The sequence below is a fragment of the Homo sapiens genome, chromosome 8, assembly GCF_000001405.40.
Source record: "Homo sapiens chromosome 8, GRCh38.p14 Primary Assembly".
Classification (NCBI taxonomy): Eukaryota; Metazoa; Chordata; class Mammalia; order Primates; family Hominidae; genus Homo; species Homo sapiens.
Genome location: NC_000008.11, coordinates 127281870 through 127297493, shown reverse-complemented (window position 1 = coordinate 127297493; position 15624 = coordinate 127281870). Strand labels below are relative to the sequence as shown.

Genomic DNA, 15624 nt, shown 5'->3' with positions numbered 1-15624 from the left:
CTTGGGACTAAGAGATAGTTAGCTTAAGGATTGGAAGGTAGATAAGTAAAATAGGTTATTGTCTACTGTGTGGTGGCTACTATGCTGGGTACCTCACAATATTTTTCTCATTATATATTTTTACAACTCTACATGCAGGCATTATTACTTCTATTTTATGGATGGAGAAACTGAGACTTAGAGAGTTGGTCAATCGGGTAAGGAAAAAATTCAAAACCTAAAGCATCTAATCAGTGCCTTATTATGTAACAGCAAGATGAACAATTCAGAAATGCAAGATAAAACAGTTTCACCTGTCTCAGAATATGATTGAAAAACTTGACAGATATTTCCAAAAGATATACTTAATTTGAGTAATTTAAATAAGCTTGCTTTTGTATATGTAAGGAACCACACAGAGAGGATATTAACTCTTCTCTTACATCTAAGTAACAATTTTTAAAATGCAGTATTTGATCACAATAAAAAAATAACTAAAAACTACCCTGGGCCAAGAGCAGTGGCTCACACCTGTAATCTCAGCACTCTGGGAGCATGCCTGTAATCTCAGCATTTTTAGGGAGCCCAAAGTGGGAGAATTACTTGAGGCCAGGAGTTTGAAACCAGCCTGGGAAACACAGTGAGACCCCCATCTCTCCAAAAACTTTAAAAGTTAGCCAGGTATGGTGGCATGCATCTGTAGTCCTAGTTACTTGGGAGGTTGAGGTGGGAGGATCACATAAGCCCAGGAGTTTGAGACTACAGTGAGCTATGATTGCACCACTGCACTCCAGCCCAGGTGACAGAGCAAGACCCTGTCTCAAAAAATAATAATGATTTTTCCCCAAATACAGATTTTTTAAGTTGCCCTTTTCTGACTATAATTCAGTAAATTTAGGAATCTAGGGCTATAGTTCATATGCCCAACAAATAGAAAAGCAAAGTAAATAGAATTTTACAAGTTTAACTACTGGGAAAGTATGAATATGGAATGTTCTTTAATATAAGCCTGAGAGCCAAGAAAAAAATAAAAATAGAAATGAAATCCTATCTAGGAATCAGTGGAAAGACGATTACTTATTGTCAAAACCTATTAGAAATAATCTATTATTATAGAAAAATGTGTAGCCTAAATGCCTTTGTTATTTTATCATTGAAAATAAATAATTTTTGTTAAGAATCTAGGGAAAAATACAAAGTAAATCATGAGGGAATACATGGGAATTGATAATGCAAAAGATGAAATTTGTGATATAGAAAACAACACAGTAAAAGGATAAAGGGGAGAAAAAGCTGGTTCTTTGAAAAGACCAATGAACAAAATTAACTTTGGCAAGCATGCTGCAGGAAAAACCAGGGTTCAATTCACTTGCTCCAGGGCACATAGGAGAACATCCGTTATTGATTGATTGATTGATGACAGTTTTATTCTGTCACCTAGGCTGGAGTGCAGTGGTGTGATCTCAGCTCACTGCAACCTCCGCCTCCCAGGTTTATTCTTGTGCCTCAGCCTCCCGAGTAGCTGGGATTACAGGTGGGTGCCACCAAGACCGGCTAATTTTTGTATTATTAGTAGAGACAGTGTTTTGCCATGTTGGCCAGGCTGGTCTCGAACTCCTGACCTCAAGTGATCTGTCTGCCTTGGCCTCCCAAAGTGCTGGGATTACAGGTGTGAGCCACTGCCTTAAATCTGTCATTTAAACCCTGCCCATCTGTACCCAGAGCCCTGTCTAATACATCATATGCATACTATGACAGAAATAAAAAATATTAGAGCATTAATAAACTGACTTGAAGATAGTCAGTAAAGGTTTCTCAACATATCCAAGATGCACGGGCAATAAAGAGCTGGAAAGACTTGTATTCTTCCTCCTTTCCCTTTTGTGGTCACAAGTGGTTGATTCCTGGTTCACACTGAGGATTCATGTGTGAGCTATGGCTAGGTCATTATGACATTTTTGCATTTCAGAACATTTCTGTAAGTTTTCCATCAATCCCAAGTATAAAAGATTCAGAGAAAGATGAGGAGACTGAAACTAAGAGGAGCAAAATGACCGGTCCAAGAGAAGAAACCAGAATTGGACCCAAGGGGCTTTATTGAACTTGGTTTATGTATCAGACATATAGAAAACCTTCTATAGTCCACGGGGTATTTTTTTGTCGTTATTATCCTCGTTCTTCCCAACAATGATGCTAAGGCACAGAGACGTTCAGCCACCTGCCCAGGGTCACACAGCCAGTGATCTGCCTGACTCCGCAGCCCATGCTTGCAAACACTCTACTGAAGCATTTCCTAATACCTGCTGGAGCATTTGGGCCCTCCTGATGGGCTCCCCTCCACCTCTCTGCCTCCCACGATGTGCCCTCACATTTCCTTGCTGGACCCAAGAGCTGTGAAACACATTAGGAACTAATAGTCTAGGAGGGGCATGGGCTTGTGGAAAGAAAACACCACAGTCCCCTTCCTCAGCTGTACTGTTCTTTCCTTCAGCTGATATTTCTCAGGTTATATAAATGGAATGTTATACAAATGTTTCCGCCATGAGTTTCCTTTCAAAAGATGAATAAAAGAATGAGGCATTTTGTTTTCCTTTGTTCCCTGGTAGCACCTATGTTAAGAATTTGTGCTTAAAACATGACTCACTAATTCTTGGAGCAGAGCACAAGGAAGTATACAGACCTAATAGCTCTGTGAGATGTAGGCTTGAGCTTGTGTGGGAAAGAATCCATTGGAACCACGTAGATGAAGTTTCATTCAAAAACAATCCTCCCCGCCCTTACCCCTTCCCCAACAGCTCCCAACATGACTGCGTTGTTTAAGTAGCCGATTGCTCTCTTGTATGACTGTCAAATATTTCAGGCAAGTGATATCTAGTTCTTCTATAAGTGGGTGCATGCTGAATTGTTAAGGTTTATAATTATTAACTGAATCATTGCTTTGTTGTTCGATAGGCAGTCTAGATTTTGGAATGGTTATTTACAGAACGAAGGCAGGAGGGAAGCGGTTTAAATACAGCGCAGGGTAAATAAGTTGAAAAGTACCTAATTTTTGTGGATTTAAGTACAATAAGCTTTCAACTAAACTCACTGCATTTTAATTCCTTCAGTCTATGTATGTTATGGGCAGAAAATAGCTTCTCTGTTGGAATGGTGCGATCCAATTCTCAGTGCACAGAAAGACATTTTTGGAACCTGCTTTCTAGAAAGTGACCTATGTGGGCAATCCCTGCTTCAGCACCCCCTTCAGCTCCAGTAATTTGATTGCCCAGAATATTCTCATTATAATTCACTGGCACATGGGAACTGCACAAATAGCAGTGAGTCAGCGTGCTGGCTATTGGGGATCCACAAGCAGGATACTCAGGTGCTCAGGATATTTTCTTTGGAAGGATCCCTTCTAAAGAATGTCTTGTCTTTGCAAGAGACAATGAGGAATGGGAAGTCACTCTGGGTGTGACTATTTATCCCTCTTCTTTCATATTCATTGCTCAATTCCTTCAAAAACCTAAGTCCTGGAGCAAAGAGGCATTTAGGGAGTCAGCTAGAAGGACTCTCCAGAGGCTGATAAAATTTCTCCCAGTAGCCTCTGCTATCTATTCATCAGATCCCAAAGCTGTCAGAGAAAATCTGGTATTTTCTCCTGCTAACTGTTGCATAGACTGGCAATCAGGCTTACCACCAAGTTTTCCTTTATTATCAAAATGATATTTCTCCTAGATAACTTAGTGCTCTTTTCTCTGATTTAGGACTCAACAATACCAACCTCACCAACATCAGTAGGGCTACCTCTATCATCAGTATCATCACCACCACCCTCAGTAACATTCCCAACAAAAACTACCATCGTGGCTCCTAACCTGCACCACTTCCACAGCCACTGCCATCATCGCTACTTCCTTTAATTCAGCAGTTATTTACTGAGCAGTTATTTACTCAGTTATGCACTGAAGATAACCAAGCACTGTGCTAGTGAAACCAGCCCAATTGCTCCGTAGAAATAATGTGTATGGGTTTTTTGAATAAATATAGAAATTGACTCTCCTGATCTTAAAATTTGAAGCTTCTATTTGCCCCATCTGAAATCTCTTCTCAGGAAACTGACCCTCAGGCAATGGACTGAAACTCACCAGATCACCACATCCAGATAATGAGAGCTCACACCCCTCATTCATCATGACTGCTTCCTTATCACTCCCGAACTCCTTCCTGCTTGTAGCTACGTTCCTTCTCTGCTATATAAACCCCCAATTTTAGTCAGGCAGGTTTGAGACTCATCTCCTGTCTCCTTCGCTGCAGCACCCAGATAAAGCCTTCTTACCTGGCACCTCTCATTGTCTCAGGGCCTAGCTCTCCAAGCAGCAAGCAACAGGACCAAGACCAAACCCCTGGCATTTTGGTAACATTAGGCCCTAAGAATATCAAGAAGATAATACCAGGATTTTTGCCTTGAAGGACAATACTATAGGAACTTAGAAACGTATATAAATGGCAATTATAAAAATGTGGAGAGGTATATGCCATAGGAGGTATATAAATAAGTGATCCGCCCACCTCAGCCTCCCAAAGTGCTGGGATTACAGGCATGAGCCACCTCGCCTGGCCACATTTCCACTCTGATCATCTTCCTCTTCCTCTCTCTTTCTTTCTTTTTCTTTTCTTCTTCTCCTCCTTTTCCTCCTCCTCCTTCATTGGGCTGACTGTGTCTAATGTTAAAATAAATGGATAATGTAACCTTGGCCTTCTTTCAAATATGACAAAGTTGTTCTTTATTTTAATATGTAAAACTTTATAATCAGTTGCAAATTACAAACACCAGACAGAATTTGTCTAAACAGAAAAACTGAGTACGCTTAATAATCCCCTATTTTTTTTTTTTTTTTCAGGGATCAGGGGGAATGTGAGAAAAAAACGGGGGGGGGGGGAGATAGAAATAATCTTCATTGCAAAATACAATTTTAAAAGTTTTATCATGAAGAATAAGCAATGCTAATTTTCTTTTACGTTTTAAGAAATGGGCTTTTAGAAGCAGGGTCATTTGAAGGCAGACAGTTTCTCTGTTCGGGGAACATTCATACTTGCTCCTGGACTTCTAACGTGATATCATCATTTCCTCATATTACCACCATTGCAATAATGTTCTTTTGCCCACACCTTGCCAACTGTACACATTCAACTATAATAAGATACATAAAAGGATCATACGCTTGAAATATTCCTTAAACCTGTCTAGCACCATCAAACTGCAATGATAGATTCTTGTCCAAAAGTCTTTTAAATTCAGGTAGAAGAGAGAGGTAAGATTATCTTATGATTTTTCTGGTGAACCTAGCCCTACTTTGATAAAGAGTGTTCTAGTTATCTATTGCTATATTCAAATTATTTTTAAAACTCAGTGACTTAAAAAGTAACCATTTCAAGATATCTCTATTGTGTGCATAAACATTTTAAGATGGATCTAGAATTCATTCCTTTTTCCTTTTCACCTTAACTACAGTGGCCACAGATGCTCTACTGTGTGCCTCTAGAATTTAGGCAGAGCTTGGCTGCTTTCTTCTTGTGTTCCAAGGAACATCAAGCAAGGTAACTCGGTGGTACTCAGCTTGCATTCAGTGGTACTCAGCTGGCAGGTGGGCTGATCTGAGGGTTCCAAGGTGGCTTCACTCACACATCTGATGCCTTTTTCATAATGGATAGCACAGCTGAAGGCTGGTCAAGCATTTATTTCATCTTGTATCTACTCTGCATGTCTGGCGTGGACTTTTTGACAGCATGAATTCCAGTGGCTGGGATTCGAAAGTGTTCCAAGAAAAATCATTTCATTCCAAGAAACCCAGAACAAAGAGAACATATATTCTAAGAAACCCAGGAAGAAGCTTTAAGGCTTCTGGTAACCTAGTCTTGGAAATCCCAGAATGTCACTTCGGCTGCATTCTGTTGATCAATTATGTCCCCAAGACCAACCCGGGTTTAAAAAAAAAAGGTTCAGACTCTTTTTTTGGGAGGTTACGTGTGGTAATTTAATACATTTATATAATTTGTAAAGATCAAATCAGTATACTTAGGATGTCCATCACCTTAAATATGTGTGCTTTCTTTGTGCTAGATATACAGACTGCCCCTCTTGATGAAAGAAATAGCAAGGGATCTGTGGCCATCTTTAATATATTATAGAAGGAATAGCAAGAACAAAGTTGAGAAATGCAGAAAAAAATATGCATTCTTGTCAGAGAACTGAGTCATAAAGTTGGGATGGATTATCAAGTTCATGGGAGTTAAATCTAGAAAAGAAAAGAAGAGGCATAGGAGACAAGATTGAGAACTCTGTACTTAAAGAAGTGGGAAATGGGAGAACTGATAAAAGGATATGAGTGATCAGAGAAGATGTGGGTATTGGTGAGGGGGTTGCTGAATGGTGGGGATGGGGAATGGGTTGGAGGTAGGATACACTGTAAGTAAGTAGAAAAGCCCACTGAAGCAGAGGCAACTGGAAAAGTCTTGGGGAGAGTTTGCCCAGGTCCAAACCATATGTTGCTGAGGTAAGAAAGGAACAGATAGAGAATTTCCAAGATGTATATATCATTATCATCTATAGTGTTGTTGTTCATTATGAGACAGTCTCCTAGTGGCATGCAGAGTGTAGGAGGATAGGTGGTAAATGAATGAAACTGACTTACAATGGCTTGCAAATATTAATAACAGGGAATGTATTGGCTCATGTAAATTAAAAGTCCAATGTTGCATCCAACTTTAAACATTTGATTCAGTTGAATAATGCCACTAGGATTATCTCTTGTCTCTGACTTCTCTGTGTGGTGACATTATTCCTTAGCTATTTCTTCTAATGTTGACAAAATATCTGAAATAAGTATAAACCTCACATCTTCACACCATCAAATCCTGTGTAAAAGAGTATTCTTCTCTCTCTTAGAAACTCTAGCAGATGATTCTTTGTGTTTAATTGGCTAAGATTGGGTTTTAGAATTCAGTTCAGTGTAACTTTTCTCTCCCATCAGTTGCTCTATGCCCTAAGTTTTACAGGGGCAGGCATCAGTGTGGGTTTACCAGAGCTGCCTATGACAAGAAGAGTATGTCCCTCTAATTCTGGGACTCAGTATTAGGAGGCCTGTGGCATATTTTATTTTCTGAAGATGGTTCAAACAATACCACCCATCTCACAGACTCTTTGGAACCTTATCATTCTTCCATCAAGTAATGGAGTCTCTTTCTCAACTTCCACTGGCTGAGGGCAAAAAAGAAAAAGAAAAAGAATAATAAATAAATAAATGTAGTCTGTTTTCCCTAACCTTGAATCTAGGCAGTACAGTATGTGACTATTTTGATCTACAGAGTATGGCAAAAGTGATAATATTGTTACTTCCAAGACTAGGGCATAAAAATGGTATGCACTTCCTCCTTATTCTCTTGGAATGTTTGCTCTTGTAATCTCACTCCAGGTTGCAAGAAAGCTCAAGTAGCCTATGGAGAGGATGCAAGGCTTCCAGCTGATGCCCTCAGCCAGGCTCAGTAGCAGCCAGAACTAGCCTACCAACGAACCTGCTGATCATGTGCATAAGCCACCTTGAACGTCGATCCTCCTGCCTGGTGGAGCCATCCCAGCTGATGCCACATGAAGCAGACACAAGCTGTCCCTACTAAGCTCTGCTCAAGTTGGATATTCATGAGTGAAATAAATGACTGTTACTAAGTAATTAATTTTTGGGTGGCTGTTATGTAGCAGTAGATAATTGGAACAAAGCTTATTGACATAATACATCTATATCACATCCTCCAATCCATTTTTTTAAGTAATAAAGTTGATGTTTGTTTTGATTTTCAGTTACAGCTTTACATATTTTGTCTTAATTAGTCAATTTTTTCCAAACTCAAAATGGGTTTTTGTAAGAGTAGTAGTAGGGTCCTAGAATAATGGCAATTCTCTTTCACTGGAGAAAGTTTTGTAGAGAAGACAAAAGAATTTTTACAAGTACTCCACTGGTGAAAACTCATAAACCTTGAAGGTATTTTTAAATTCATCATGCATTTATCAATTTATAAATGAATTCATCATTCATTGGTCCATTCATCCATCCCTCCATCCATTTCTAGATCCTCTCATAAGAGGAAATCTAGGAATAAGCCTGATCAGTGAAAGTTTCATGGGAAAGAGGAAGGAGGAAGAAATTATTTTATTTTTAGAGTTTTGGGAGTTAGTGGTTATGGACTTGCACTGGAGAAGATGGGTGAGAAAGTTCAAGGTTTCTAAAATGGGAAAGTAGGCCTGGAGAAAATGTTGCAACCAAGATTATAAGGCCAATTACCAGGTCTGATTACCAGAAAATAATTTTTAAGGCAGGAATATTAGGCCATATCAGTACCTGAAAGAGTGATCGAGGCTAATTTGTTCATTCATGTAACAACAATTTATTATGTGCTACTAAGTACCATCACTATATTATAAACTGAGGGTTCAGTAGTGGATAAGAGAAACTAATTCCCTGGCCTAATGAAGATTTCATTCAACGGGGAAAACAAGAAACATATATGTAAATTAGCAAAAGTTAATAATATCATTCAAAGAGTGCTAAGAGCTCTGAAAATAGTAAAGCAGGGTGACTGATAAAACAGGACTAAGCAGGTAACAGTAAGAGGTGATCAGGGAAAAAACCTCTGAAGAAAACATATTTGATCTGGAATCCAAATGGCAAGTAGAATGAAGAAGGTAAATAATTCATACAAGAGCATATCTCTTCCATAGCAAGTGCAAAGACCCTGGGCAAATGCCATAGTTGAGCTAGCACCCACCACTGGCTTCAAGTGATGGGTGAGTGATACAGACTCAAGGAAAGGGCCAAAAGGGCAGACAAAACCAGTTCAATTTGTCACTTATTCATCCACCCATTGATCCATCTACTGATCCATTTATCCATCCATCCATCCATCCATCCATCCATCCATCCATCCATCTATTCAACATACATGTTGGGTGCCCTTTACATACCAGGACCTGTACTGGGCATGGGAACTGCAGAGATGAAAAGATGAACAATCTCTGTACTTGAGGGACTCATCTCACTCTGTGAGATGAACTGGCATGTGACTGAAAACTCACTATATTGGTAACGAGACTAAAACACAGAGCTTAATGATTTAACCTGATACCACCCAAGTGGTTAGCGGTTAGTGGCAGGGCTTCAGAATTTTATTTTCCTTCCCTACAGGGAAAACCATTATGTGTGACCTACTTTTTCAAACTCTCTTCCTCAGTGGGGCAACAATTAGAGTTTATCTATTGCTAGTGCTTACCATTTTAGGCTCCTTTAATTAGAGTGTTTTAAATTAGTGTTATTTTAATTTTGCTTATCTCCTGAGACATTATAGAGGATAAATAGCAAATGAAATAATGTACATGAAAACACATTGTAACCCATAAACCATCATACAGATGTGTGTTATATACAGTTTTATATTTGAGGATATAGCTTTATGCATTAGTACTGCTTCCTCCTCAGGGATGTCTCCAAAAGAATTCAGAGTAAAACAGACTTGTGGATTGATGCTTTAAAGACATTTTGTATTTTCTTTAAAAATAAAATTGACTCACAGTAGGTGCTTAATAAATATTTGTTCAAAGAATGCATAAGATGCAATATTCAGAGACATAGATTCAGTGTAGTAGGCATCAGTGTGGCTACTTGGCTACTTACTGTGCAAAAGATGTCAATTTGTGAGTGCAAATTCATCTTAAGGAAATTCTCTGATTTAATTTAAGCATTGGTAGAGAGATTTACTATTATCCTCCTTGGAAATGAAAAGCATATAGCTCAGGGAAGGAAGATCACATTTTTAGGAGAACTATCTGGGGGCAGATTACCCAAAGTGTTAATTATTATAATTACTATTGTTAAGTTGGTTTTAAAGTCCTATATGATGTAATATCATGTTCTCTTTTTGTTTCTCCAGCTGAGCTGATGATCTTTTAAATAAAAAACTACAACCACCTGTCTTAATCTAGAGACTACTCAGTGGTTGATTTTTCAGGATTGGAGCCAGGCTGTCTGGGTTCAATTACAGGCTCTTAGACTTTGAATTTGTTTCTTAACTGCTCTGTCCCTAAATTTTCTTTCTTTTTTTCTTTATTATTATTTCTTTTTTGGTAAAACAGGATTTATAAGTAGTATATGCCTCATAAAATTGCTGGAAGAATTAAATGAATTAATTTATGTAGTGTACTTAGAAGAGCATTTATGTTAGCTAGTATGTGTCTACTTACTTTGACCTCCCATTGGATTGTAAAAGCTGGAGAACAAGGGCTCTGTCTTATTTTGCTGATGTTTTCTTCAGTGCTGGGACTAGGGTGAGGTGAGCGAAGCACCTGACTGGCTGCAAAATTCAGTGAGAGTGTAGGGGAAGCAAAAAACATAAACAACCAAGATAAATAATATTTTAGTGCAGTGCTTTTAAAAATCAAAATTAGTGGCCGGGCGTGGTGGCTTATGCCTGTAATCCCAGCACTTTGGGAAGCCCAGGTGGGCAGATCACAAGGTCAGGAGATCGAGACCATCCTGGCTAACACGGTGAAACCCCGTCTCTACTAAAAATACAAAAATTAGCTGGGCGTGGTGGCGGGCGCCTGCAGTCCCAGCTACTCAGGAGGCTGAGGCAGGAGAATGGGCCTGAACCCGGGAGGTGGAGCTTGCAGTGAGCCCAGATGGCACCACTGCACTCCAGCCTGGGTGACAGAGCAAGACTCCGTCTCAAAAAAAGAAAAAAAAAAAATCGAAATTAGTGCAAACATTCCATTGTGAACATAATATTTTAAATAAGACTGGATTTGTATTAATCATTATGTAAGACCATTTCATTTGGTCAAGAGAAATTGTTAAACATAGCAATTTCCCCAGATGAAAATGAGATAAGCAAGAAGCTGATTTTGAATATGTTGGTGAGTTTTCTCATCAACAAAACAGGAAATTAAAATTAAAATAAGTTTATTTTGGGTATAAATAAAATATTTAATCTTAAAATAATGTATTGAATTTTAGTACACCTACTTTTAGACTTCAATATTCTTCAATGATTTTAGTGTTCTTAAAAAAGTTACAAACATATTAATACGCCACATGAATGGCCAATAAATATATGAAAAATACTCAATTTCTCTCATCATGAGGGAAAAGCAATAAAACCACAATGAGATATTACTTCAAACCTGTTAGAACAGCTGCTATTAAAAAGACAAATCATGAAAAGTGTTGGTGAGGAGGTGGAGAAAGAAACGCTTGTACACTGCTGGGGAGAATGTAAATTAGCATAGAAATTTTGGAAAATGGGAGTTTCCCAAAAAAAAATACTAAAAATAAAATGACCACATAATCCACAATCCCATTTATGGGTGTATATTCAAAAGAATTGAAATCAATATTCAAAAGAATTGAAATCAGTATGTCAAAGACATATCTGCACTCCCATGTTAATTTCAACATTTTTCACACCAGCCAAGTTATGGAAGCAATCTAATCTATCAACAAATTAATGGATTTTTAAAAATATAGTATACATATACAATGGTATACTATACAGTCTTTAAAAATAAGGAAGTTCTAATATTTGTGACAGCATGGATGGAACTGGAGGACATTATGCTAAGGGAAATAAGCCAGGCACAGGAACACAAATATTATATGCTCTCACTTATATGTGGAATCTGAAAAAGTCAGTCTCCTAGAAACAGAGAATAGACTGGTGGTTACCAGAGGCTGGGTCAAAGGGGAAAGGATGGGGAAAAGGAAGATGTTGTTAATTGAAGGGTACAAAGTTTTATTTATTGGAGAAATAAATATTATTTCTTGGAGAAAAGATTTTAATACTCTATTGCACTGCATGATGACCGCAGTTAATAACAATATATTGTATGTTTCAAAATTACTAAAAAAGATTTTTAACATTCTCACAACCAAAAATGATAAATTATTGAGGTGATGGATATGTTGATTTAGTTAAATCTTTTGATAATGTATACATAGATCAAAACATCACATTGTATCCCATAAATATACATGATTTATAAATTAAAAATAAAATAAAATTAAATCTTTATATTAAAACATATATAGGCCAGGCACGGTGGCTAGTGCCTGTAATCCCAGCCCTTTGGGAGGCCAAGTTGGGCGGATCACAAGGTCAGCAGTTTGAGACCAGCCTGCTCAACATAGTGAAACCCCGTCTCCATTAAAAATACAAAAAAATTAGTCGTGGTGGTTGGTGCGTGTAATCCCAGCTACTCGGGAGGCTGAGGCAGGAGAATCGCTTGAACCCAGGAGGCGGAGGTGGCAGTGAACCTAGATCATGCCACTGCACTCCAGCCTGAGCGACAAGAGGGAAACTCCATCTCAAAAAAAAAAAAAAAATGTACATAGGGGCACATGTTTTTTCTTGATCCTCATATTCCAACATTGTTTGGCATTACTCTGATATTCCTGGATCCTTGTACAGATTCTAGTGCATACAGGGTGTTCAATTCATATTTGTGAAAAGACTTGTGAGCTCTATGAGGACAGGGCAATAATATGTCTGTCTTTTGAATCTCCTCTCTTCAGTATCTAGTACAGTAGAGAATGTACTAGTACAGTAGAAAATATACTCCTAATACCCAGAAGAGGATAAACACATGTTAGCTGAATGTTTGTTGAATGAAAAAATTACCTTAACTCCAGCTTAATTTAAACGTTAATTCATATCATGCTATTGAATTTTGTTGTATACTGAGATGTTCACTGTGGATTACAGAAGTCTGCTTTATGAAGTCCTAACCATTGACGTGGGCATTCTAATCCTTCTCTTCCACTTGAGATACCGTAAAGAGACTGAGAACAAGAGTTAGCAAGGAGGAAATGCCCCACATAAATCTCTGTGTCTTTCGCTGGCAAAATTACTAAACTAATAGCTTCCAAAAGTTTCTCACCACGATTTTTATGAGCTATTTTTTAGATTGAGGCTACAGTGCAGCCATCACTGCACTCTCCCTGGGCAACAGAGCCTGGGTGACAGAGCAGACCCTGTCTCAAAAAAAAAAAAAAAAAAAAGATATATTTTGTATATTATGATATGGTACATACATACACATATGTATATTTACATATGATTAAAACAAAAGTGTCATCAAATACTAGTATTATGTAATATGCATTCTATACTTAAATTTTTCAACAAATTATTAAAAATGCATTTGTGATGACTTCAAAGTAGCTTAATGAACTACAAAGGCTATGTCCCACAGTTTGCAAAACATTTCACTAGACTAAGTTTTTTAGAGCAAACCATTTTATCTCTGTTTATGCACCTAATATGGCCATTGGTTCAGGGAAGGTGTTTAATGAGTCATTTAGGCTGTAGGCTTTGATGCAAAGGATAGGCCACTAGTTTGAGTCCTAGCTTTGTTGCTAACCAGCTGTATAAATTTGGGCAAATGAGTTAACTGCCATGAGTCTCTTTCTCTCCGTTTCCAATAATAATGATGACAATAACAATAATCATAACGAAAATTGGTTGAAGGGTTACAATGCACCTGCATCATTGGGATGATTGAAACTTGACACAGGTGCTGTGGGGACCAAATGGGATCAACGTATAAAGCACCTGCCATGAATGAGAAACTTAGTCATTGTTGAGGCAATTTTCCCCTTCACGGGTCTTCTAAGCCATGGCTTTCTACTGGGAATCAGAAGCATGTTGCTTGCTCCTTTGGGTATTTGGCACGCGTTGAACTGGGAAGAGCCCAGTGCTTTGAAGAGCACTGTGAGAGTGCACCACAACCCGCATTCTCAAATACCCATCTTCTAGCCTTCCTCCTGGCCCATTTGCAACTCTTTGGTCTGCTTTTGTGGTAGTTGAGTCCAGCTGGCCTCCATCCACATTCCAGTCTTTCTGAGAACAGTGGCAGCATTGTTGATGTCTGAGACCCACAGGACAAAGAGCTCATGTCCTCAGGCTACCTGTGGCATTTCTGTCCCAGGACATTGTACTGTTCTCCTCATTGGTCTCACCAACACAGGGGACCAGAGAGGAGAGAGGGCTGGGCCAAATGCACTATGAATGTAAACCACAGGGGACAGATGAATTGTTTGAATGTCTATTCTGATTGGGTTGTCTATAAAGGAAGAAGCATTTATGCTTGTTTTTAACAAGGTTCTCGCCTTTCCCAGCTGCACTGGCTCACCTTGTTCACATTGACTCAATAATGTCACAGTCTTAGCATCTGAGAAGTCATCCATTGCTCGGGAAAAAAACTTGCAATAATATCAGTTCTAATACCAATGCCTTCTAAACGTATCTATCACCCTACAACTGTACATAATTACCATTTATCGAAAATATACCATATTTTATTTGCTTGACATAGACCATTTCAAATCTTTGTAAGAACAAAGTGTAAAGTGAATTAACATGCCTAGTTTGCAAATTTAAATATATATATATATATATATATATATATATATATATATATATATATATATATACATTTGTTAAGAAAAGTTGAATGTCCTTCAAATCATCCAGCTCATATTTATGGAATTTGAATCAGAGCTTAAGTCTGTCTGATTCTGGAGCCAAGTTCTATTGTCTTCCTACAGCACCTGTTCACAAACAGGTGATGTTTGATTATTAATGTTCTCATTAATAATCATAGTTCACATTAAATTTACTGAATGTCTTCTGTCTGGCTCTGTTGTAAACACTTCACATGTACTACTGGTATCACTTATTGCCTACAACTCTATGAGAAAGGCATCTTATTATCCCATTTTTTCAGATGATCACACCGAGGTACAGCTACACTTGGCAAGACTGGGTGTTGCTGTAAGTACAGGATCTGGATTTGAATCCAGGCAGTCTCTGTCATTGACCACTAACCTGTGTTTTTTCATGTTCCCTCTTTTTTTGGATCTCATACTACCTGTGAAAGACAGCAAACATTATCAGTGCTTTACAAGTGAGGGCACTGAAGGAATTTACTTGCTCCATATTACAGAGCTTCTAAGTGGAAGAGGGATTGAATCTGGGTCTCTTGGCTCCTGGTTCAGTGCTTGCTTCATTAAATCAGAATATGTCATTGAAGACGCTCCTTACCTGCCCTGTGCTTGGCACCTGGGTATGCTGAGAAGGTGCATAACATCGATGAGCTTTAGGACTTGGATGGGTCACATAGCTTGGGTTCAAATGGAATCTTCCTCTCCTGCTGGTGTGCTTTGCTAGTTCCTTTCACTCGGCTGTTACAGCCTGGCTCCCTGCACTGCCTTGGCCTTCAGCATGTGCCTGGTTCTTCCTCCTGCCTCCTTGCTGCCCATCAGGGCTCCTTGGGGACTTCCTATATTCAAGGTATCTTTTCAGTATAGCAATACTTTGTCATCTGACTTTCTTTTGGCTAATTGGAGATCTTGTCTCTAATTAAATTGCTGGCCATAGCCTAGTAGGAAAAAATTGGGAATATCTCAACCAGCACTTTTCAAAATATCCACTCTCCACTTTCTGCATACAATGCATGAAAGACACAAGAGAATGCCTGCCTATATCCTCTTGTATGTATCTTATGGCCCTTCCAAATAGAATAACATGTGGCTAGATTCATAATAAACACCAACAGAGGCA

The 15624-nt window shown here is 38.5% G+C and overlaps 2 long non-coding RNA genes across 2 annotated transcripts in view, besides 2 other annotated features; one reads left to right on the top strand and one right to left on the bottom strand.

Annotated features, from left to right (window-relative positions):
- CASC8 (cancer susceptibility 8) overlaps window positions 1-7818 on the top strand; it is a 192464-nt gene extending 184646 nt beyond the window's left edge. The window contains exon 6 of the long non-coding RNA NR_117100.1: window positions 7434-7818. This is a non-coding gene — a long non-coding RNA (cancer susceptibility 8). The remainder of the gene's footprint in view (window positions 1-7433) is intronic.
- Window positions 1-15624, bottom strand: part of CASC21 (cancer susceptibility 21) — a 147995-nt gene that overhangs the window by 95138 nt on the left and 37233 nt on the right. The window lies entirely within an intron of this gene.
- Window positions 4459-5026: an enhancer, noted in NCBI's record as "H3K4me1 hESC enhancer chr8:128304713-128305280 (GRCh37/hg19 assembly coordinates)". NCBI's record gives its function as "activates a minimal SCP1, AML or CMV promoter by ChIP-STARR-seq in naive H9 embryonic stem cells {active_cell/tissue: H9 hESC(naive)}" and the evidence as "EXISTENCE:reporter gene assay evidence [ECO:0000049][PMID:30033119]".
- Window positions 13567-14200: an enhancer, noted in NCBI's record as "OCT4-NANOG hESC enhancer chr8:128295539-128296172 (GRCh37/hg19 assembly coordinates)". NCBI's record gives its function as "activates a minimal SCP1, AML or CMV promoter by ChIP-STARR-seq in naive H9 embryonic stem cells {active_cell/tissue: H9 hESC(naive)}" and the evidence as "EXISTENCE:reporter gene assay evidence [ECO:0000049][PMID:30033119]".